Genomic DNA, 24640 nt, shown 5'->3' with positions numbered 1-24640 from the left:
ATTCTTCTCCACAATTGGTATTTTCAGACAAGATCAGGCACGTCAGGGTGGTATGGCCGTAGACCCAATTGGTATTTTCAAAGGTTAGTATAGTTTAAATACTTGGGAGGCCGGGTACAGTGGCTCACACCTGTAATGCCAACACTTTGGGAGGCCGAGGCAGGCAGATCACTTGAGCCCAGGAGTTTGAGACCAGCCTGGACAATGTGGCAAAACCCCATATCTACAAACAATACAAAAATTTGCTGGGTATGATGGTATGCACCTGTTAGTCCCAGCTACTTGTGAGGCTGAGGCAGGAGAATCACTTGAGCCCGGGAGGCGGAGGTTGCAGTGAACCGAGATCACACCACCGTACTCCAGCCTGGATGATAGGAGTGAAACCCTTTTTCAAACAAGAAAAAAAAAGGCTGGGCGTGGTGGTTCACACCTGTAATCCCAGCACTTTGGGAGGCCAAGGCAGGCAGATCACGAGGTCAGGAGTTCGAGACCAGCCTGTCCAATATGGTGAAACCCTGCTTCTAGTAAAAAGTACAAAAATTAGCAAGGCATAGTTGCGCGTGCCTTGTAGTCGCAGCTACTTGGGAGGCTGAGACAGGAGAATCGCCTGAACCCGGGAGGCAGAGGTTGCAATGAGCCAAGATCACACCACTGCACTCCAGCCTGGGTGACAGAGTGAGACTCTGTGTCAAAAAAAAAAAAAAACAACCTAAAAAAAAGTACTTTGGAGATGCTGCACCCCTTCTCTGAGTGTCGTTAGGAGTGTCAGTGAAAGGAGAACACATCCTAGAAGATCAGGGGCATATCAGAATTCAATGTTTCTACAGCTGATGGGTGGCTACTAATGCCTTCCTCATGGAAAGCAAAGGAAAGGGGGATGACTTTTCCTAACAATGCACCAGGCTGTCTGCATGGCCGAAAAGGCGAAAGGTGGTTTCTCCTTAGTCATGAATTAGGGAGAAGCTGTCTGCACACCCCCTGGTTCATGAGTAAACTTTAAAACAAGTCCTAGGGCCAGGTGCGGTGGCTCACGCCTGTAATCCTAGCATTTTGGGAGGCCGAGGTGGGTGGATCACCTGAGGTCAGGAGTTCAAGACCATCCTGACCAACACGGCGAAACCCTGTCTCTACTAAAAATACAAAAATTAGCTGGGCATGGTGGTGGGTGCCTGTAATCCCAGCTACTTGGGAGGTTGAGGCAGGAGAATTACTTGAATCCGGGAAGTGGAGGCTGCAGTGAGCTGAGATGGCGCCACTGCAGTCTAGCCTGGGCGAAAGAGCAAAACTCTGTCTCAAAAAATAAAAAATAAAAAAAATAAAAATAAAACAAGTCCTAGGCTGGGTGTGGTGGCTCATATCTGTAATCCCAGCAGGTTGGGAGGCCAAGGTGGGTGGATCGCTTGAGCCCAGGAGCTTGAGACCAGTCTAGGCAACACAGTGAGACCCTATCTCTACAAAACAATTAGAGAAAATTTGCCGGTCATGGGTGGTGCATGCCTGTAGTCCCACCTACTTGGGAGGCTCAGATGGGAGGATCTCTTAAGCCCAGGAGGTTGAGGCTGCAGTGAGTCATGATCATGCCACCGCACTCCAGCCTAGGCAACAGAGTGAGACTTTGTCTGAAAAAATAAAAAGTAAAACAAATTAAAACAAATCCTGAGTTTTTAGATTTCAGAAAGAATTATGAGGGGTTAGTAATTGCCATATTTCATTTAGGAGAAGCCATACCGCCTTGGCCTCCCAAAGTGCTGGGATTACTGGCATGAGCCACCGCTCCCAGCCCATTTTTTTTTTTTATAATTGAAGAACTTACCTGACACATCATTATCACCCAGAGTCCATAGTTTCCATTAGGGTTCATTCTTGCACTTGTGTATTCTGTGGCTTTTGGCCAACATAGAATGACAGTGATCCACCTTTGCAGTGTCATACAGAAGAGTTTCACTACTGGAAAAATCCTTTGTGCTCCCCCTCCCTCCCTCCCCCTAAGTCCTGGCAACCCCTGATCTTTCTTCTGTCTCCAGGGTTTTGGCTTTTCAGAATGTTGGAATCACACAGCGTATACAGTAGGTAGCAATGTTCAGGTTGGCTCTTTCACTTAGTAATGTTTCCTCTGCATCTTTTCATGGCTTGCTGGTTCATTTCTCCATTTTTAGTGCTGAGTAATATTCCATTGTCTGGATGTCCCATGGTGTGTTTATCCAGTTACCCCGTCAGATATTTTTGTGTGTGGCTGTGGCGGTCAGTGTGATTAGTCCTGTCATCTTGCTTGGAAACAAAAGCCTCAGTGCACATGCATTCTTGACTTTTACTGAAGAAATGAGTTTGTTGTTGTTGTTGTCGCCCAGGCTGGAGCACAGTGGTGCGATCTCAGCTCACTGCAACCTCCGCCTCTCGGGTTCAAGTGATTCTTCCGCCTCAGCCTCCTGAGTAGCTGAGATTACAGGCGCCCGCCACCATGCCTGGCTAATTTTTGTATTTTTGGTGGAGACTGGGTTTCACCATGTTGGCCACGCTGGTCTCAAACTCCTGACCTCAGGTGATCCACCTGCCTCGGCCTCCCAAAGTGCTGGCATTACAGGCGTGAGCCACCGCACCCAGCCAACCCAGGAGTTTGACAGCAGTTTGGGTAACATAGACCCCATCTCTACAAAAATTAAAAAAAAAAAAAAAGGCAGGTATGGTGGCATGCACCAGTAATGCCAGCTATTCTCATGAGGCTGAGGTGGGAGGATCAACTGAGCCCTAAAGTTGAAGGCTGCAGTAAGCTATGATCACACCACTGCACTCCAGCCTGGGCAACAGAGTGAGATATTGACTCTTAAAAAAAAAAAAAAAAAGAATTTTTTCCACTTGTAGCATTAACTAGCCAAGTAATCTGTATTCTCGGAATGCATTTCTTTCACATAGGTATGACTCTCTCACCGGGGTTCCGGTCAGCCAGCAGAACCTGCTGCTGGAGAAGGCCAGTGTCCTGTTCAACACTGGGGCCCTCTACACCCAGATTGGGACCCGGTGTGATCGGCAGACGCAGGCTGGGCTGGAGAGTGCCATAGATGCCTTTCAGAGAGCCGCAGGTATGTCTCCTCCAGGGCTGACCAGACGGAGCCTTGGCCCCACCCGGTGGCACCAGGGGACCCCCCACTGAAGAGAATCTACAGGTCATCCCTCGCAAGGGCCAGACCAGTCTCCAGCTCTGGTGTAACTTCCCATTAAGAAACTTGCTCCGGCCGGGCGCGGTGGCTCACGCCTGTAATCCCAGCACTTCGGGAGGCCAAAGCGGGTGGATCACAAGGTCAGGAGATCGAGGCCAGACTGCATCTCAAAAAAAAAAAAAAAAACTTGCTCGGTGGTTCAGACCTCAGTCTGGGATGGCTGATGTACATGGTGAATCCTGTGGCTGACGATCTTTTCCAGACAAGTGGCCCCTGGGATGGCAGTGCATAACTGTTTCTTTCAACACTGTCATGAAGAGCAGAATAACTTTTCCCAAATAGTGAAACTGTAGGCTTCTTTTTCTTGTATTAGGTGTACCTTATCAGTGCGTATTACTCTCCGTGCCTTTATTTATTTATTTATTTATTTATTTATTTATTTATTTATGAGATGGAGTTTTGCTCTTGTTGCACAGGCTGGAGCGCAGTGGCATGGTCTCGGCTCACTGCAACCTCCACCTCCTGGTTTCAAGCAATTCTCCTGCCTCAGCCTCCTGAGTAGCTGGGATTACAGGCACCCGCCACCACACCTGGCTAATTTTTGTATTTTTAGTAGAAATGGGGTTTCGCCATGCTGGCCAGGCTGGTCTCGAACTCCTGACCTCAGGTGTTCCGCCTGCCTCAGCCTCCCAGAATGCTGGGATTACAGGCATGAGCCACCGCACCCTGCCCCTCCATGCCTTTATATCACCTGCATTCTGCCAACTTCTCCAGCATGAGGTGGGTGTTCTCAACCCTTTGTCAAGTGATGCATTCAAAGGATGTCTCATAGCTCAGTTCCCTTCTTCTGGGAACTGTCTTTTGTTATTTTATTTTATTTATTTGTTTATTTTGAGATAGAGTCTTGCTCTTGTCACCCAGGCTGGAGTGCAGTGGCACAATCTCTGCTCACTACGACGTCTGCCTACTGGGTTCAAGTAATTCTTCTGCCTCAGCCTCCCAAGTAGCTGGGATTACAGGCGCCTGCCACCATGCCTGGCTAATTTTTGTATTTTTAGTAGAGATGAGGTTTTGCCATGTTGGCCAGGCTGGTCTCAAACTCCTGACCTCAGGTAATCTTAGTATGAGAATGAGGTGCGGTGTTGAGGAGAAAAGCAGCCTAGTGCTTACACCTATAGAGGACTGGGGTCAACAGACCCAGCGCTGTGGGTGAGCCTGGCTTGGCTCACCTGTGCCTGCGGGTTCTGCCTTGCTCCCCCATAGCAGGGCTGTGTCTGGGTCAGACTCCACGTGGGGATGGATGCAAGAGCAGGGCACAGTGTAGACCACAGTGTGTTCCCCACGCTAGCTCTATAGCGTGTTGCCTTCTGGGCTGATCATCGACATTCTGCTTTGGGGTGTGATCCCCTTCCACCCGTGTGGATCATTGTTTGATATCACTTTGCCCTGCAAGCTTGTGAAGAACCATAGCTTTGCCACTTTGACTCATCGTGAAATTTCTGATGTTATAATGATTGGTCCTACCAGCCTGGGCCACACAGGAGGACCCCATCTCTACAAAATATTTAAAAATTAGCCAGGCGTGGTGGTGTATGCCCGTAGTTCCAGCTACTCCAGTGGCTAAGACGGGAAGATCACTTAAGCCCAGGAGTTTGAGGCTGCAGTGAGCTATGATTGCACCACTGTACTCTAGCCTGGGTGACAGAGTAAGACTCCATCCCTAAAAAGAATTTTTTTTTTTTAAATTAATGAAATAGGCTGGGCATGGTGGCTCATGCCTGTAATCCCAGCACTTTAGGAGGCTGAGGTGGGTGGATTGCTGGAGCCCAGGAATTTGAGATCAGTCTGGGCAACAAGGCGAAACTCCATCTCTACAAAAAGTACAAAAGTTAGCTGGGCCTGGTGGTGCATGCCTGTAGTCTCAGCTACTTGGGAGGCTGAGACAGAAGGATCAGCCGAGGTTGTGGTAAGCCAAGATCGCGCCATTGCACTCCAGCTTGGGCGACAGAGCAAGACCCTGTCCCAAAAAATAATTAATTAATTAAAAAAATAAAAGATTGGTCTATCGGGATGAAGCGATATGCTAAGATTCCAAGTATGAGTTGATTTCTTTTGCTGTAAATCTTTTTTCTGGACTCATCTTTCTGAGGAATCTTAGGCAGGCACTCTGTGTCCTGTCTCTGAGATTATATCAATGGAGACAAACTATAGACGAAATGAAGCAAGTAGGAGAACAGTGGGGAGTGTGAGGGAACCCCCATGGAGCTCGCAGCTCAAAACAGCAGGTGCCATCCCTCCGCAGGGCAGGGCTTTTTTTTTTTTTTTTTTGCTCAGCAACAAAACCAGAGGAACCAGTTGGATGGGATTCATATGAGAGATTCTATTTCAGTTCCAGATTGATTGTCAGTTAGCGCTTTGGACAGTTAATTTTCTAAACTACAAAGAAGTCAGAGGAAGGCTGCAGCATGAAAATTTCCATTGGAGCAGACGGATTGAGATTTTTTTTTTTTTTTTTTTTTTTTTGAGACAGAATCTCACTCTGTCGCCCAGGCTGGAGTGCAGTGGCGAGATCTCGGCTCACTGCAGCCTCTGCTTCCCGGGTTCAAGTGATTCTCCTGCCTCAGCCTCCGGAGTAGCTGGGATTATAGGCGTGCACCACCACACCTGGCTAATTTTGTATTTTTGGTAGAGATGGGCTTTTGCCATGTTGGCCAGGCTGGTCTTGAACTCCTGACCTCAGGTGATCCGCCCACCTCGGCCTCCCAAAGTGCTGGGATTAGAGGCATGAGCCACCACGCCTGGCCAGAATAGATCTTTCTTGAGGTCCAGGGGAAAAGCCCTGGACTGCTGAATGACTCAGATCTTATGTGTGAGCCTGGTCCCCTGTGAGCCCCTTAGTCCTTCTGCCTGCCGTCTGCTTGCATCTCCATACCTGTCGTGATGGAATTTTGTCCCAGGTGACACAGGAGTTGTGGGGAGCAGGCTGGTTTCTTTACTCAATAGAGATGTGTTTTGGAAGGTAATCCAATTTTTAAAAATTGGGTTAAAAGGCTGGGTGGGGTGGCTCACGCCTGTTATCCCAGCACTTTCAGTGGCCGAGGCAGGCAGATCACCTGAGGTCAGGAGTTCGAGACCAGCCTGGCCAACATGGTGAAACCCCGTCTGTACTAAAAATACAAAAATTAGCTGGGTGTGGTGGTGGACACCTGTAATCCCTGCTACTTGGGAGGCTGAGGCAGGAGGATCGCTTGAACCTGGGAGGCAGAGGTTGCAGTGAACTGAAATCACACCACTGCACTCCAGCCTGGGTGTTTATTTATAAATAAATAAATAAATAGTGTTAAAATATACATATATAACTTAAAATGTACTATTTTAACCAGTTTTTTTATTATAGTAAAATAACACAGAACATAAAATTACCATTTTAATTATTATCTTAAATTTTAAAAATTTTAAAATTATCCTGCCAACCAGAAGCACATTTTAACCATTTTTAAGTGTGCAGTTCAATGGCATTAAGTGCATTTGTACATTCATAGTGTTGTGCAGCCATTACCACTAAACATCTCCAGAAGTTAAAAACTTTTTTTGTTGGTTAGGCAAGGTGGCTCACACCTGTAATCTCAGCACTTTGGGAGGCTGAGTCAGGAGGATCACTTGAATCCAAGAGTGGAGACCAGTCTGAGCAACATAGGGACACCCCATCTGTACAAAAAATTTTAAAATTAGCTTGGTGTAGGGTGGCACATGGCTGTAGTCCCAGCTCTTCAGGAGACTGAGGTGGGAGGACCGCTTGAGCCCAGGAGTTTGAGGCTGCAGTGAGCCATGATTGTGCCACCGCACTCCAGTCTGGGCAACAGAGTGTGATCTTGTCTCAAAAATAAATAAAATAAATACATTTTTAAAAAGTATATATTTTTTAAGAGACAGGGGTCTCAGTACGTTGCCCAGGCTGGTCTTGAACTCTTAATGTCAAGCAACCCTCCCACCTCAGCCTCCTTTATAGCTGGGATTACAGGCAGCAGCCCCTGTGCCCAGCTATCTCCGGAACTTTTTCATCATCCAAAGCAAAGCTCTGTACTCAGTTAAACAATAACTTCCCATTGCCCGCTTTTCCAGCCCCAGCTAACCTCTATTCTCCTTTCTATTTCTGTGAATTTGACTATTCCGGGTACCTTATCTAAATGGAATCCTACAATATTGGTCCTTTTGTGACTGGCTTGTTTCACTTAGCATAATGTCCTTATTTACACTGTACCATGTGTCAGAATTTCATTCCTTTTTAAGGCTGAAAAATATTCTGTTGTATGGATAGGCCACATTGTGTTTAATCATTCATCTGCTCATGGACGTCTGGGTGGTTTCCACTTTTCAGCTCTTGTGAATAATGTTGCTATTAACACGGGTGTTCAAGTGTCATTTAAGCCCCCACTTTCAATTGTTTGGGGATATATATCATAGGAGTGGAATTGCTGGACCATATAATTGAGAATCAAATTTTTTAATATGTTGTAGGACACCGGTTCTTTTTTTTTTCTCCTGTCTTTTCCTTTTTTTTTTTTTTTTTTTTTTTTTGAGACAGAGTCTTGCTCTGTCACCCAGGCTGGAGTGCAGTAGTGAGATCTCAGCTCACTGCAACCTCTGCCTCCTGGGCTCAAGCAATCCTCCTGCCTCAGCCTCCAGAGGAGCTGAGACTATAGTCGCACACCATCACACCCGGCTAATTTTTGTATTTTTTGTAGAGACAGGGTTTCACCACGTTGCCCACGCTGGTCTTGAATTCCTGATACAAGTGATCTGCTCACTTCGGCCTCCCAAAGTGTTGGGATTATGGGCATGAGCCACCGCACTCGGCCTCCTATCTTTCTCTATAGCAACGTGATGAAGTAAATATGAACCCGAACTAATGGGCAAAACATTTTCCACTTTTAGGGGTTTTAAATTACCTGAAAGACACATTTACCCATACTCCAAGTTACGACATGAGCCCTGCCATGCTCAGCGTGCTCGTCAAAATGATGCTTGCACAAGCCCAAGAAAGCGTGTTTGAGAAAATCAGCCTTCCTGGGATCCGGAATGAATTCTTCATGCTGGTGAAGGTGGCTCAGGAGGCTGCTAAGGTAGGACTCCCTGGTTCCTGTGACTTTGGGGAGTGGGCAGGAGATGCTGGCACAGGAGCACTGGAAGTAGCGGGGCCTTCCCATGGGAGCTTGCCTGTGACCTGGGCATTGTGCCAGCTCCGGCCAGTACTGCTGGCTTGAGTTTTCTTGGCAAGTGTTGGTGTTTCAGATACAGATCACTGATTCCATCTGCAGCTTAACCTAAAAACCAGCATAATGACAGCAGCCTGATCCCCCTGTTAACTGTGACAATGACAGAACGAGGGGTCTCTTGGAGTTGCTCCCAGATTCTGGAGCAGCCCCTGGCAGGGGCTGTTGCATGGGAAGAAGAAAGGGCTCTTTCTCTGCAAATGGGTTCATGAGGGCCCTTGTGCCGGGCTGCCCCTTCCCAGTGTCCCTTCTATTTCAGGTGGGAGAGGTCTACCAACAGCTACACGCAGCCATGAGCCAGGCGCCGGTGAAAGAGAACATCCCCTACTCCTGGGCCAGCTTAGCCTGCGTGAAGGCCCACCACTACGCGGCCCTGGCCCACTACTTCACTGCCATCCTCCTCATCGACCACCAGGGTAAGGCCTGGGGGGTTCGGGAGTTTGGCGAGGGCTGTGGTCCAGCTGCCCCAGGGGCGATTCTGAGCTGAGTGAGAGCTAACTGCCTTCCCTGGAGATGCTCACAGGCTGAAGGCAGAGGATGGGAGTGACCCATGACTGAGGCAGCTGCCGCACAGGCCATGGTGGGGTTAGGGGTTATAAGCTTCTTTAGAGGGAGGAAGAAGAGGCACCTTTAATTCTGCCTGGGTGCAAGAGGATGAATTTTCACCTGGAATCTAGAATCTAAGGGAAGGCCAAAAATGCTGGCATCAAGATAAGTAACATTTTAAGGTAATATTTTAAAAGAATCAAAATTAATGCAGGCCAGGTGCTGTGGCTCATGCCTGTAATCTCAGCACTTTGGGAGGCCAAGGCAGGCAGATCATTTGAGGTCAGGAGTTTGAGACCAGCCTGGCCAACATGGTGAAACCCTGTCTCTACTAAAAATACAAAAATTAGCAGGGCATGGCACGTGCCTCTAATCCTAGCTACTCGGGTGACTGAGGCAGGAGAATGGCTTGAGCCAGGGAGGTGGAGGTTGCAGTGAGCCGAGATTGTGCCACTGCACTCCAGCCTGGGTGACAGAGCAAGACTCCATCTCAAAAAAACTAATAATAATAAAATAAAAATTAATGCAAAAAAAATCTGTGATGATCGGAATTTTATTTTATTTTATTATTTTATTTATTTTATTTTATTGTTAGAGATGGGGCTGGAGTGCAGTGGTATGATCATGGCTCACTGCCTTCTTGAACTCCTGGGCTCAAGCGATCCTCCCAATTCAGCCTCCCAAATAGCTGGGAATACAGGCACATGCCACTACACCAGTTAATTAAAAAAAATTTTTTTTTTATAGAGATGGAGTCTCACTATGTTGCCTAAGTTGGTTTCAAACTCTTGGCCTCAAGCAGTTGTCCTGCCTTGGCCTCCCCAAAGTGTTGGGATTACAGGCATGAGCCATGGTGCCTGGCCAGGGATTTTTGATCTAATGAGTACTAATCCAGGCAGCCTCCCAAGGAATTAAAAAGACAGCCTCTGGAGCCAGACTTCCTGGGTTCATATCTCAGCTCTTCCATGAATGAGCTGTTTTACCTTGGGCAAGTTACTTAGCTGTCCTCTGCCTCAATTTTCTCATCTGTAAAATGGGTATATGGAGAGAACCTGCCTCACAGGCTGTCATGAAAACGAAAACGAAGGGCCTGTACGCAAAGCTCAATAATGCTTTATATACTGTAGGTTCTCTGAAAGTGTGAGCCGCCACTCCTAGTACTATATAGTCTATTAGGTGAGACAAGATGTGAAAACAAATAGAAATACCATATAGTGCCTCGGTGATTGCTGTAGAGACACAAATGCAGCAGCAGGTGGACTCCATGGTACAGTCATGGATGGCTTCTTAGAGGCAGTGACATTTGAGTTCAACTTTTCCATCTGCACAGGAGGGAAGGGTCAGCCTAGAGGGAGTAAAGTGTCTGAGCACAGAACAGAGGCGGAGGGTGCTGGGGAAGTGGAGAGTGGTTTTGTGAGGTTTGAGAGCAGGATGCGCGCCACGAAGGGTGTGGTTGAAGCAGGAAGGGGCTCTGCTGCAGGTGTGCAGGCCCGCAGAGGGGTGCAGGCCGGGCATGACAGGGTCTGGGCTATGCCAGGAGGTTCTGTGTGGTGGGTGAGTTGGAGGAGGTAGCGTGTGGGGGCTCAGGGTCAAATTACAAACCTTGCCGGGTGTGGTGGCTCACGCCTATAATCCCAGCACTTTGGGAGGCCGAAATCGGTGTGGATCACGAGGTCAGGACCAGCCTGGCCAAGATGCTGAAACCCCATCTCTACTAAAAATACAAAAATTAGCCGGGCATGGTGGCATGTGCCTGTAATCCCAGCTACTCGGGAGGCTGAGGCAGGAGAATCGCTTGAACCCGGGAGGTGGAGGTTGCAGTGAGCCAAGATCACACCACTGCACCCAAGCCTGGGTGACAGAGCGAAACTCCATCTCAAAAAAAAAAAAAAAAATTATGAACCTCTGGAGTGTGACTGGTCCCAGTGAGCAAGAGCTTTGGGGTAGCCAGGCATAGTGGCTCACACATTTGATCCCAGCACTTTGGGAGGCTAAGGCAGGAGGATCGTTTGAACCCAGGGGTTTGAGACCAGCCTGGGCAATGTAGCAAGACCTTGTCTTTACAAAAAAATTTAAAAATTAGCCTGGCATGTGGTGGTGCATGTCTGTAGTCCTAACTACTCAGGAGGTGAGGTGGGAGGATCACTTGAGCCCAGGAGTTCAAGGCGGCAGTGAACTATGATTGTGCCATTGCACTCCAGCCTGGTAACAGAGTGAGACCGTCTCAAAGAAAAGAAAACCTTGAGGGTTAGACGGCCTGGGGTGTGTCCGGGGGCAGAAAGGAGACCCATGATCCCAAATGCCTTGTGAAACTGCAGAAAAAAGGAAGCTGGAGACATGGTAGAGAAATCTCTACGTGGGTCTGTGGCCAGGTCCATGAGAGGGGATTTAACCTGTGGTTCTCTTTGCAGTGAAGCCAGGCACGGATCTGGACCACCAGGAGAAGTGCCTGTCCCAGCTCTACGACCACATGCCAGAGGGGCTGACACCCTTGGCCACACTGAAGAATGATCAGCAGCGCCGACAGCTGGGTGCGTGTCCCCCTGCACCCAGATGTGGGCCCCACTTGGTGCCCAGCTGGTCCTGCTCACAGCCAGCCACAGAGAGGTCCCTGAAGAGGGCCCGGGAGAGGGGGGTGTTCCGAGTCATCGTGGCCACTTTGGGTTCAGAAGTCATGAGGCGCGGTCCTGAGCCTCAGAGGGCTTCCCAGGCTGTGTTCTCATGGGTTCCATAGCACCCAGGCCTCCCACTGTGGAGCCAGGACTTTAACCATCTCCCTTGGGGTCCACAGGGTGGCATGTGTCACGCTAACAGGGAAGGAGACGTTTGTTGATTTCCTTATGCATGGCTGAATTACCAAGAACACCTAATGACTGGTAATGCAGTGTCCTGGTTTGGTCTCTGCCATGTCTCAGTGTGAATATCTCTTCCCATGTGCAGACCTCACCTCCACCACCCTAACCTGCCCCTCTGCGCACCACCCATGCACACATACGCAGCTTCTCCGTCTCAGTGATGGCAACTCCCACCCCTCTAGGTGCTCAGGCCAGAAACCTTGGACTCACTCTCCACGCTTCTTTTCTTTCCTCCTCTTTCCCATCCCCTCCCCTCTGCTCCCCTCCCCTCTCCTCCCCTCTGTTCCCCTCCCTTCCCCTCCTCTCCTGTTCTCTCCTCTCCTCTTCCCTCCCCTGTTACCCTCCGCTCCCCTTCTCTCTCCTCCTCTCTTCTCCCCTCCTTTCCTCTCTCCTCTGGTCCTCCCTCTCCCTCCCCTCCTTCCTCTCCTCCCCTCACCCTTCCCCTCTCCCCTCCTCCCCTCCCCTCTCCTCTCCTTTCCTTGTTCCTTGTTGCTTTCCTTTTCTCTCCCTTTCCTCTCCTCTCTCCTTTATTCTTTCCTTCTTTCCTTTCTCTCTCTCTCCTCCCCATCTACCCGTCCTCCCTCCTTTCCTCTTTCCTTTTCTTTCATTTGTTTTCTTTGACAGCATCTTGCTGTCCCCCAGGCTGCAGTGCAGTAGTGCAATCACAGCTCAGTGCAGCCTCGAACTCCTGGCTTCAAGTGATCTTCCTGCCTCAGCCTCCTGAGTAGCTGGGACTACAGGCATGCACCACCACGCCCGGCTAATATTGTAAAAAGGTTTTTGTAGAGATGCGGTCTCACTATGTTGCCCAGGCTGGTTTTGAACTCCTGGCCTCCAGCGATCCTCCTGCCTCTGTCTCCCAAAGTGCTGGGTTTACAGGCATGAGCCACCACACCTAACCTCTTGTCTTACTTTCTCACCCTACATTTGATTAGCAAATCCCTTTGGCTGTACTTAGAAAACATATCTCAAATCTGGCCACTTTAATCCTGCTGCCCTGGTGGAAGCCACATGTGTACAGTGCTTATTTAACAAACATTCACTCACTTAAACCCCACACAACACTATGAGGTGCGTCTCGTGGCATCCCCATTTTACAGCTGAGGAAACTGAGACCCAGAGAGGTCACGTGGCTTGCCCTGCTCATAGCGGGTTTTCCTGCTGCCCCTTCAGAGCCTGGTCGTGCAGGTCAGATCACATCAGTCCCCTGCTCTCACTCCAGTGGGCTCCCGTCTCACGCAGAACAGGAGCGAGAGCCCTCATCTCACACGCGTGAGGTCCGCCATGATCTGGCCTGGCTCTTTCTTCCCTGCACTCATTCTCTCCCACCCTCCCTGCCTCCAGGCACACCCTAGCTCCTCCTTGCCCTTGAAAACCTGCACGTGCCCCTGCCCCAGGGCCCTCGCACCTGCTGCTCTTTCACATCAATCAGGGCTCTGCTCAAAAAGGACCATATCACAAAGCTTTCCTTGGCCGGGTGTGGTGGCTCACACCTGCAATCCCAGCACTTTGGGAGGCAGAGGTGGGAGGATGGCTTGAAGTCAGGAGTTTGAGACCAGCCTGGGCAACATGGAGAAACCCCGTCTGTACCAAAAATACAAAAACTTAGCCAGATGTGGTGGTGTGTGCCTGTAGTTCCAGCTACTTGGGAGGCTGAGGTGGGAGAATTGCTTGAACCTGGGAGGTGGAGGTTGCAGTGAGCCGAGATCGTGCCACTGCATTCCAGCCTGGGTGACAGAGCAAGACTCCGTCTCAAGAAAGAAAAAAAAAAAGCCTTTCTCTGTCACCCATCATAGGACAACCCCATTCCCAGTCTTCTCTTACCATCTCCGCTTACCCTGCTTTATTTTTCCCTATAACCTCATCACCACCCCATCCATTACATATTTCTTGTCTTGTTAGTTATCTGTCGTCAACCACTACATGTAAACTCCATGAATGTGGGGGCAGTTTGTTTACTCGTTGCTTTATCTCTAGTGCCCAGCACATTTGGTAAATATTTGTTGAGTGAACATCTTATGGACACAAGTGAGGTTATTACATACGCATTGAAGGGAGGCTTGGGCTGGGCGCGGTGACTCACGCCTGTCATCCCAGCAGTCTGGGAGGCTAAGGCAGGCAGATTGCTTGAGGCCAGGAGTTTGAGACCAGCCTGGGCAACATAGCAATGATAATGAAATGATGATGATAGTGAAAACATTATCCAAGTGTGGTGGTGCATGCCTGTGGTCCCAGCTGCTCAAGAGTCAGAAGAGGGAGGTTCAGTTCAGCCCAGGAGTTTGAGGCTGCGGTAAGCCATGATTGCACCACTGTACTCCAGCGTGCGAAACAAAGTGAGACCCTGTCTCTAAATATAAAATATAAAATGAAAAAAATAATATTTTAATAAAAGGCTTGTTGTAACCAAGCGAGTTATAGAGAAATGCCACACTTTGAGACTAATTCAGGAGTCCTTTATTAGCCGGTGACTGAGAGACGGCTAACGCTCGAAATTCTCTCGGGCCCGAAGAAGGGGCTAGATTTTCTTTTATACTATGGTCTAAATAGGGGAGGGGGGTTTAACTGAAGCAATTTTACAGAAGCAGAATAGGCAAAAAGTTAAAAAAAAGTAATTGGTTATAGAAGCAGTTACAAAAAATACACAGTTCCAGGTGCAGGGGCTTAAACTATCACTAAGAGATAAATGCAGGGGCTTTAGGTACCTGCCACTGAGCACATCCCCAGGAGCTGCTGGTACAGCCTGCCTCAGTATCTTATCAGCAGTTTGCATTCCTGGGTGTGCTTGGAGTCAGCTTACACTAGTTATTCTCTTAAGGGGGATAAGTGGGGGCTGCAAGTGAAGAAACTAAAATGGAGTCTGTCCGGCTCTCTCTGCTAGGAGAGAGTCACTCAGGTTAAAACAAGGTAGGGTATCACAGGCTCTAGCTATCCAGGCAGATCCTTTAGAAAAGAGAACATCCAACCTCTTGGGCTGCCCCTTGGGCCTTTATGCTCTGCTTGGTGGATCTGCAAGTCACGTGGGTGCTGGCTTCCGTCTGCAGGGAAGTCCCACTTGCGCAGAGCCATGGCTCATCACGAGGAGTCGGTGCGGGAGGCCAGCCTCTGCAAGAAGCTGCGGAGCATTGAGGTGCTACAGAAGGTGCTGTGTGCCGCACAGGAACGCTCCCGGCTCACGTACGCCCAGCACCAGGAGGAGGATGACCTGCTGAACCTGATCGACGCCCCCAGTGTTGTTGGTGAGTAGCCTAGACTGTGTTCCCTCTGTGGGGGTGCCTGTGCCGCGGAAAGAGTACGCCTGGCCTGTGGGGGTTGAGCGAGCCCTCGCTGTGTGCTTGGCACAAGGAGAGCTGCACAGGGTAGGGACTGAGGTGCTGCTTTTGCCCTGGAGTTCTCTTTTCTTTTTGAGATGGAGTCTCGCTCTGTTGCCCAGGCTGGAGTGCAGTGGCGTGATCTCGGCTCACTGCAACCTCTGCTTCCCGGGTTCAAGTGATTCTTCTGCCTCAGCCTCCCGAGGAGCTGGGATTACAAGCACCCACCACCACACCCAGCTAATTTTTGGATTTTTAGTAGAGATGGGGTTTCACCATGTTGGCCAGGCTGGTCTCGAACTCCTGACCTCAAGTGATCCACCTGCCTTGGCCTCCCAAAGTGCTGGGATTACCAGGGTAAGCCACCACACCTGGCCTAGATACACTTTTTATGCTGTTTGTTCTCGTGTAGAATCAGCCTGCCCTGGGATCCTTTGTTAGAAATTGACCAGCCTTATGTTAAGGGTAGTCCGAGCCTGCTGTGAAGATGCTGGTGGGGGTATGTAGCTGTCAGTGGTCATGATTTGCCAAACCTCCTTTTCACTGGGAAATCCTCATACCACATTAATAATGAAAAGGTCAAGCACGGTGGCTCAAACCTGTAATCTCAGCACTTTGGGAGGCCGAGGCAGGAGGATTACTTGAGCTCAGGAGTTTGAGACCAGCCTGGGCAACATAGTGAGACCCCATCTCTACAAAAAATTAAAAAAAAAATTCATCAGGTGTGGTGGTGCATACCTATAGTTCCAGCTACTCGGGAGGCTGAGGCAGGAGAATCATTTGAGTCCAGGAGGTCAAGCTGCAAGCGAGCTGTGATCCCACCACTGCACTCCAGCTTGGGCGACAGAGCGACACCCTGTCTCAAAATAGTAATAATGATGAAAACAGAAAGCACGGTATCCCAGGACTGTGTCCAGTGAGGCATGGAACTTCCATAACAACAACACTTGAAACATAGATGACTTCTCAATAGGTTTTTTTGTTTGTTTGTTTGTTTTTGAGAGGTCATTTCGCTCTTGTCTCACCCAGGCTGGAGTGCAGTGGCGTGATCTCAGCTCACTGCAACCTCTGCCTCCCTGGTTCAAGCCTCAGCCTCCCAAGTAGCTGGGACTATAGGCGCATGCCACCACGCCTGGCTAATTTTTTGTATTTTTAGTAGAGATGGGGTTTCATCATGTTGGCCAGGCTGGTCTTGAACTCTTGACCTCAGATGATCCTCCCACCGTGGCCTCCCAAAGTGCTGGGATTACAAGCATTAGCCACCGTGCCTGGCCTCCTCATTAGGGTTTTATGAGTGCCAGAGAAGCCCACTAAGCCCCTTAAGTATCAGGAAACCCCATGGGAATGTGTCTGGTTATCACTCCTTGGTCCCAGCTCGGGAAGGAGTTATACCTCCCATGGCTCACTGGAGGCACCCAAATGGAAGGTACAGTTCACCCTAGGTCGGGGGTTGAGCTCTGTTCCATCTTCTTCTGCTACTTGTCTAAACCGAGGGGAAGGATGTGTGACTAAGAGAAAGTTCTGTACTGTCTCCTTCCCAAGGATCACTTTTTTTTTCCCCCCGGAGTCTGACTCTGTCACCCAGGCTGGAGTGCAGTGGCATGACTTCAACTCACTGCAGCCTCTGCCTCCTGGGTTCAAGTGATTCTCCTGCCTCAGCCTCCCAAGTAACTCGGATTACAGTCACCTGCCACCATACCTGGCTAATTTTTGTATTTTTAATAGAGATGGGGTTTCACCATGCTGGCTAGACTGGTCTTGAACTTATGGCCTCAAGTGATCCACCTGCCTCAGCCTCCCAAAGTGCTGGGATTACAGGCGTGAGCCACAACACTGGACTATTAGGATCACTTTCAATTACAGAAACGTTTATCCTCCCATTTCTAATCCTCTATTCTAGCTAAAACTGAGCAAGAGGTTGACATTATATTGCCCCAGTTCTCCAAGCTGACAGTCACGGACTTCTTCCAGAAGCTGGTATGTTGAATGCTCTCTACATTCAAATGACCTAAGGGGACAGCTCTTCACTTTGGCGAGTATGGTGTCTTAGTCCATGTGGGCTGCTATAACAAAATGCCTCAAACTGGGGGGCTTATGACAGCAGAAATATATTTCTTAGTTCCGGAGGCTGGGAAGTCCAAGACCAAGGTATGGGCAGATTCGGTATCTGCTGAAGGCCCATGTTCTGGTTTATAGGTGGGGCCTTCTACCTGTGTCCTCATGGCAGAAAAGGTGATGAGCTTCCTTGGGCCTGTTTTAAAAGCATGTATCCCATTCTTGAGGGTTCCACCCCAAGACTGAATCACCTCTCGAGAGGCCCCACTTCCTAATAATTACATTGATGATTTTAATATACATTTTAAATTTTAATAAATATTAATAAAATTTTAATATTTTAATATACAAACTTTGGGAGGGTACAAACATTCAGACCATAGCATATTTTATTTTATTCATTTATTTTTATTTATTTGTTTTTTGAGACAGAGTCTCACTCTGTTGCCCAGGCTGGAGTGCAGTGGTGCGATCTCAGCTCACTGCAGCCTCCGCCTCCCAGGTTCAAGTGATTCTCCAGCTTCAGCCTCCCGAGTAGTTGGGATTACAGGCCTGTGCCACTACGCTCAGCTAATTTTGTATTTTTAGTAGAGACGGGGTTTCACCATGTTGGCCAGGCTGATCTTGAACTCCTGGGCTCCAGTGATCCGCTCACCTCAGCCTCCCAAAGTGCTGGGATTACAGGCCTGAGCCACTGTGCCCGGCCCCATAGCATATTTTAAAGGTAGTTTTTAGGTATTGTCTATTTAAAATTTTTTAAAAATATTTTTTAGTTTTTTTAGAGACATGGTCTCACTGTGTCACCTAGGCTGGATTACAGCGGCATGATCATAGCTCACTGCAGCCTGAACCTTCTGGGCTCAAGCGATCCTCCTGCCTTAGCTACCCTAGTAGATGGGACTACAGGTACACACCACCATGTCCAACTAATTTTCATTTCTTGTAGAGATGGGGTCTTGCCTAGGCTGGTCTCCAACTCCTGGGCTCAAACCATACTCCTGCCTAGGCGTCCCAGAGTGCTGGGATTACAGGTATGAGCCACTGTGCCTGGCCTGAGATTTTTTTCCTTTTTTTTTTTTTTTTTTAAGACAGGGTCTAACTCTGTTTTCACCCAGGCTGGAGTGCAGTGGCACAATCATAGTTCACTGCAGCCTCGAACTCCTGGGCTCAAGAAGTCCTCCTGCCTCAGCAGCCTGAGTAGATGGGAGCATTGGCGTGCACCACCATGCCTGGCTAATTCTTTTATGTTTTTAGTAGAGAATGGTTCCCACTATATTGCCTAGGCTGGTCTCAAACCCCTGGCCTCGAGCGATCCTTCTGCCTTGGTCACACAAAGTGCTTAGGATTACAGGCATGACATGCCTAGTCTTACATTTTTTATATTAGAGATTTTATTTATGATAATTTTGGCCGGGTGCGGTGGCTCACGCCTTTAATCCCAGCACTTTGGGAGGCTGAGGCGGGCGGATCACCTGAGGTCAGGAGTTTGAGACCAGCCTGGCCAACATGGTGAAACCCCATCTCTGCTAAAAATACAAAAATTAGCCAGGCATGGTGGTTCGCACCTGTAATTCCAGCTACTCAGGAGAATTACTTGAACCCGGGAGGCAGAGGCTGCAGTGAGCCGAGATCATACCACCACACTCTAGCCTGGGCGACAGAGTGAGACAATGTCTCAAAAAAAAAGAGAAAAAGATAATTAATACAATGCCTAAAAGATAATTTTATTGAAAATATATTGGGTATGTTTGAGAAGATGGCTTTCCAGGTTCTCGCATGACTGCTGTAGCATGTATGCCCCCAGATGTGTCATTTGTCCCTGAACAAGGCCAAGTGAGATCTTCAAGGACAGCAGGCAAAATTCCCTTTAGCTTTCAAGCGTCTGATCCAGCCTTCAAATCCTACACCTAACGATGCTCTCTTCCAAAGGGCCCCTTATCTGTGTTTTCGGCTAACAAGCGGTGGACGCCTCCTCGAAGCATCCGCTTCACTGCAGAAGAAGGGGACTTGGGGTTCACCTTGAGAGGGAACGCCCCCGTTCAGGTTCACTTCCTGGATCCTTACTGCTCTGCCTCGGTAAGCACATGCTTTTCTTGATTGGCAGCAAACACAGATATCTGGGTGATTGAATTTAGGGTGGGTTCACCCATGTCAAAGGCCTGACTTGATGTGAAGGGCCTCATGGGTGCTACATTCCCTAAAAGAAAAGGATTAATTTTTACTGTCTTTCTTTTGTTTGTTTTATGTTTTTAGTTTTTTTTAGACTTTGGGAGGTGGAGGCTGCAGTGAGTCGCGATCGTGCAGTGGCGCGATCTCAGGGCTCACTGCAGCTTCTGCTTCCTGGTTTCAAGTGATTCTCCTGTCTCAGCTTCCTGAGTAGCTGGGATTACAGGCACGTGCCACCACACTCAGCTAATTTTAGTTTTTGTTTTTGTTTTTTGAGACGCAGTCTCACTCTGTCGCCCAGGCTGGAGTGCAGTGGCGCGATCTTGGTTCACTGCAACCTCCACCTCCTGGGTTCAAGTAATTCTCCTGCCTCAGGCTGCTGAGTAGCTGGGATTACAGGTGCGTGCCACCATGCCTGGCTAATTTTTTGTGTGTTTTTAGTAGAGACGGGGTTTCACTGTGTTAGCCAGGATGGTTTCGATCTCCTGATCTTGTGATCCGCCTACCTCGGCCTCCCAAAGTGCTGGGATTACAAGTGTGAGCCACCTGGCCCGGCCTAATTTTTGTATTTTTAGTAGAAATGGGGTTTTGCCATGTTGGCCAGGCTGGTCTCGAACTCCTGGCCTCAAGTATTCTGTCTGCCTTGGCCTCCCAGAGTGCTAGGATTACAGGCGTGAGCCACTGTGCCTGGCCAATTTTGGCTTTTTTTTTTTTTTTTTAATTGCACCCAGGCTGGAGGGCAGTGGCACGATCTCGGCTCACTGCAATGTCTGCCTCCCGGGTTCAAGCAATTCTCCTGCCTCAGCCTCCCAAGTAGCTAGGACTACAGGTGCCCACCACCACACCTGGCTGATTTTTGTATTTTTAGTAGAGATGGGTTTCACCGTGTTGTACAGGCTGGTCTTGAACTACTGACCTCAAGTGATCTACCCGTCTCAGCCACCCAAAGTGAATTTTTGCTTTCTTGATGCGAACTTACGCAAATACCTATTTTGTTAATGGGGACTGATTCAAGGATTTGAGTGAACAAAACGTTGACTTAATTTCAACAATACTTTTTCAGGTGGCAGGAGCCCGGGAAGGAGATTATATTGTCTCCATTCAGCTTGTGGATTGTAAGTGGCTGACGCTGAGTGAGGTTATGAAGCTGCTGAAGAGCTTTGGCGAGGACGAGATCGAGATGAAAGTCGTGAGCCTCCTGGACTCCACATCATCCATGGTGAGCGCTGACACCTCCCTGGGCAGTCAGTGGTGGCGTGGAGTGAAATCTGCATGAGTTCAGCCCCAGAGGTGTTTACCAGACCCTCTGTCTCCTGCCTGTGTAACATGGTACAAATGACTGGACTCCCAGGCTTGTAATCACTGTAATGTGCTCACCTTGGGTCAAAGAGAAAATTGGCAAACTTTTTCTTTTTAAAGACAGCGTCTTGCCCTATTGCCCAGGCTGGTTTGCAGTGGTATGATCATGGCTTACTGCAGCCTCTATCTCTTGGGTTTAAGTGATCCTCCCACCTCAGCCACACGAGCAGCTGGAATTATAGGCACCCACTACCACCCCTGGCTCGCTCTTTCTTTCTTTCTTTCTTTCTTTCTTTATTCATTTTCTTTTTTAATTTTATTTTTTTTTTGAGACGGAGTCTCGCTCTGTCACCCAGGCTGGAGTGCAGTGGTGCAATCTTGGCTCACTGCAAGCTCTGCCTTCCGGGTTCACACCATTCTCCTGCCTCAGCCTCCCAAGCAGGTGGGACTACAGGCGCCTGCCAACATGCCTGGCTAATTTTTTGTATTTTTAGTAGAGACGGGGGTCTCACCGTGTTAGCCAGGCTGGACTCGATCTCCTGACCTTGTGATCTGCCAGCCTCGGCCTCCCAGAGTGCTGGGATTACAGGCGTGAGCCACCATGCCCAGCCTATTCTTTATTTTTTTGTAGAGACAGGTTCTTGCTATGTTGCCAAGGCTGGTCTTGAACTCCTGGGCTCAAGCCATCCTCTCACCTTGGCCTCCCAAAGTGCTGGGATTACAGGCGTGAGCCACTGCACCCTGCTAGCAAACTTTTAAAAATATCCTGTAGATAAAATAATCAACTGATCTATTTTTCTGATCAAATTGTTTAATTACAAAAGTAATACATACTCATAGTGAAAAAAATAAAAAACAAAAAAAAATTCTAATGGTACAGAAGTGCTTAAGACAACCTGTGAAAGTTAAGACAATCCCTCTGTACGCCCTAGAGGCAGTGTCAGCCATGTCCTGGGAGATTTGGGAAGCATTTGAGTGTCTTCAAGTTCACCTGCACAGTTACCGCCTTTAATTTTCCCCACGTGAGGCCAGGCACGGTGCTCATGCCTGTAATCTGAGTACTTTTGGAGGCTGAGGTGGGCAGATTGCTTGAAGTCAGGAGTTGAAGACCAGCCTGACCAACAAGGCAAACACTGTCTCTACTGAAAATATAAAAATTAGCTGGGCATGGTGGTGCACGCCTGTAACCCCAGCTACTCAGGAGGCTGAGGCAGGAGAACAGTTTGAACCTGGGAGGTGGAGGTTGCAGTGAGTGGAGATCGCGCCATTGCACTCCAGCCTGGGCAACAGAGTGAGACTCTGTCTGCAAAAAAACCCTAAAATTTTCCCCAAGTGCTAGGATTCATGCCATACTTAATGACGTTCTCCTCTGCACTTTGCCACACTTAATGATGTACCCTCGACCTTCCCTCTGTAACAACACTCATTTATTCATTCAACAAATATTGATTGAGGATCAGTTGGGTGCCAGACACTCTCTTAGGTGTCAGAGCTCCAGTTTACATTACACAGATAAGGTCCCTGCCCCCCAGCGAAGCTGGCATTAAAGTCAGCAAATAAATGTTCAGGATTTTGATAAGTGCTGTAAAGGAAAAAAGACCTGTAACAGGGTGGAATGACTGGGGAGGGGGCGAGGCTCTATCTAGGCAGGGATGGACCAGACATGAGAGTGACCAGGAGGTTCGAGCCAGTTGCAGAGGGACAAGAAAGGCCTTCTGGGCAGGGGCACTTACAGGTACAGAGCCCCTGCAGCAGAATAAGCTTCTCCTACCGGAGAGGCAAAAAGAAGGCCTTTTGGCAAGAGCACCAGGACAAGGAAGGGAGCCATGGGAAGTGAGGTAAGAAGGAGGCCTTGGCGGCAATGGTGGGAGCTTGGAAGCCACTTGGAAGCCCCTTTCAGAAGGGGAACGGCGTGGTGTGATGTTTGTTTTAGAAGGGCGTCTGCTGCCGGAGACTGGCCATGGCACTTGTCCAGGCTGGTGACATTAGTGGCTGAGGTGATGGGGGTGGCTGTAGAGTTAGAGAGACATGAGTGGCCCTGGGACATAGTTTGGAGGTAGAGCTGATGGGGGATTTGTGGATGATTTGTGTTAAGGAGACAGTGGACAGGGAGGTGAGGCCTCAGTTTTTGGCTTGATCAATCTCATGGGTAGTGGTTATTTTTCTACCTTTAATTTCTTTTTTCTGTTGTTGTTGTTTTGTTTGTTTTGTTTTTTTTTTTGTTGTTGTTGTTTTTGAGACAGGGTCTCACTCTGTTGCTTGGCTGGAATGCAGTGGTGCAATCGTAGCTCACTGTAGCCTTGACTTCCTAGGCTCAGGCAATCCTTTTGCCTCAGCCTCCCGAGTAGCTGGAACTACAGGTGTGTACCACTATGCCTGGCTAATTTGTTTATCTATCTATGGTAAATTTTTTTTGGTAGAGATGGGGCCTTTATATATTGCCAAGGTTGGCCTCAAACTCCTGGCCTTAAGCGATCCTCCCACCTCCGCCTCCCAAAGTGTTGGGATTACAGGCATGAGCCACCATGCCTGGCCTGGTTATTTTTCATAATGATGGGTAATGGGTGTGAGGGAGGTGAAGGAGAGAGAAATCAAGAGTCATGTTTTGAATGTTCCAGATGCTATTAGCAGTCAGACGTAAGCATAAAGGAGGAGATCGAATGTGAAGTCTTACAGTTCGAGGAAGAAATCAGAGCTAGAAATAAATATTTGAGAATCATTGCACAGGGATGATATTTGAGGCTGTGAGACAAAATGCAGCTCCCTGCAAGGGGGCTAGGGCTGAGGGCTAAACATTTAGAGATCAGTTGGAAGAGAAGCAAGTGCAAAGAAAATGGAGGAGAGTTCAGAGATGTCGGAGGAAAGGAGCTTCTCAAATTAAGAGGAGAAAGCTTTGCAGTGAGAGGGTGATGGGTTGCATTGAATGCAGTTGAGTGGTGGAGAATGAGGTCGCCTTAGCTGTGCCTATTGTATTTGGCAGCAGGATGAAAAGACACTTTGGTGGAGAGGTGGCAGCAGAAGTCAGTTGAGAGAGGGCCAGAGAGCCAATGGATTTTGAGTCCATGGATATAAAATGCTCAGCATAGGCAAATCCAGAGACAAAAAGTAGATGGTGCTGGGGCTGGGCAATGGGAGTCGGGAGGGACTGCTGAAGGGTCATAAGGTAGAAGGTTTCTTTTTAGGGGGATGGAAATGTTCTGAAATTAGGTAGTAGTGATGGTCACCTAACTTTGTGAATATACTAAAAATCACTGGTGTCTTGGCATGCTGGCTCACACCTGTAATTCCAGCACTTTGAGAGGCTGAGGCAGTATGTTCGCTTGAGCCCAGGAGTTCGAGACCAGCCTGGGCAACATGGCGAGACCTTGTCTCTACAAAAAATAAAAAAAATTAGCGAGGCATGGTGGCGTATGCCTGTAGTCCCAGCTGCTTGGGAGGCTGAGGCAGGAGGATCACTTGAGCCCAAGGAGGTTGGGGCTGCAGTGAGCTATGATTGTACCACTGCACTCCAGCCTGGGTGTCAGAGCAAGACCCTGTCTCAAAAATAAAAATAATAAATAAAAGCCACAGAAGGGTATTAAAATGGTGAATTTTATGCATGTATGTGAATTATATCTCAAAATTTTTTTTTTTTTTTTTTGAGACAGAGTCTTGCACTATTTCCTAGGCTGGAGTGCAGTGGCGTGATCTCGGCTCACTGCAACCTCCGCCTCCTGGATTCAAGTGATTCTCCTGCCTCAGCTTCCCGAGTGACTGGGATTATAGGTGGGCACCACTATGCCTGGCTAATTTTTGTATTTTTAGTGGAGACAGGGTTTCTCCATGTTGGTCAGGCTGGTCTCGAACTCCTGACCTCGAGATCCATCTACCTTAGCCTCCCAAAGTACTGGGATTACAGGCGTGAGCCACCTCACCCGACATACTTCAAATTTTAAAAGAAGATAAAGTCAAGGGACTCAGAGCATCTTGGGAGAAGGGATCAT

At 48.6% G+C, this 24640-nt stretch overlaps 1 protein-coding gene across 1 annotated transcript in view; it reads left to right on the top strand.

Moving 5' to 3' along the window:
* The window catches only part of RHPN2 (rhophilin Rho GTPase binding protein 2), an 86297-nt gene that overhangs the window by 53798 nt on the left and 7859 nt on the right, over nt 1–24640 (top strand). Inside the window, exons 7-14 of the mRNA NM_033103.5 lie at nt 2911–3077; nt 8091–8278; nt 8688–8844; nt 11386–11505; nt 14871–15065; nt 17038–17114; nt 19122–19268; nt 20422–20577. Of these exons, the coding sequence (NP_149094.3) occupies nt 2911–3077; nt 8091–8278; nt 8688–8844; nt 11386–11505; nt 14871–15065; nt 17038–17114; nt 19122–19268; nt 20422–20577 (1207 nt within the window). The remainder of the gene's footprint in view (nt 1–2910; nt 3078–8090; nt 8279–8687; nt 8845–11385; nt 11506–14870; nt 15066–17037; nt 17115–19121; nt 19269–20421; nt 20578–24640) is intronic.

The sequence above is a fragment of the Homo sapiens genome, chromosome 19 (genome assembly GCF_000001405.40).
Source record: "Homo sapiens chromosome 19, GRCh38.p14 Primary Assembly".
In the NCBI taxonomy this organism is placed as follows: Eukaryota; Metazoa; Chordata; class Mammalia; order Primates; family Hominidae; genus Homo; species Homo sapiens.
Note: the sequence above shows the minus strand (reverse complement) of the source record. Positions and strands in the feature narration are given on the sequence as shown.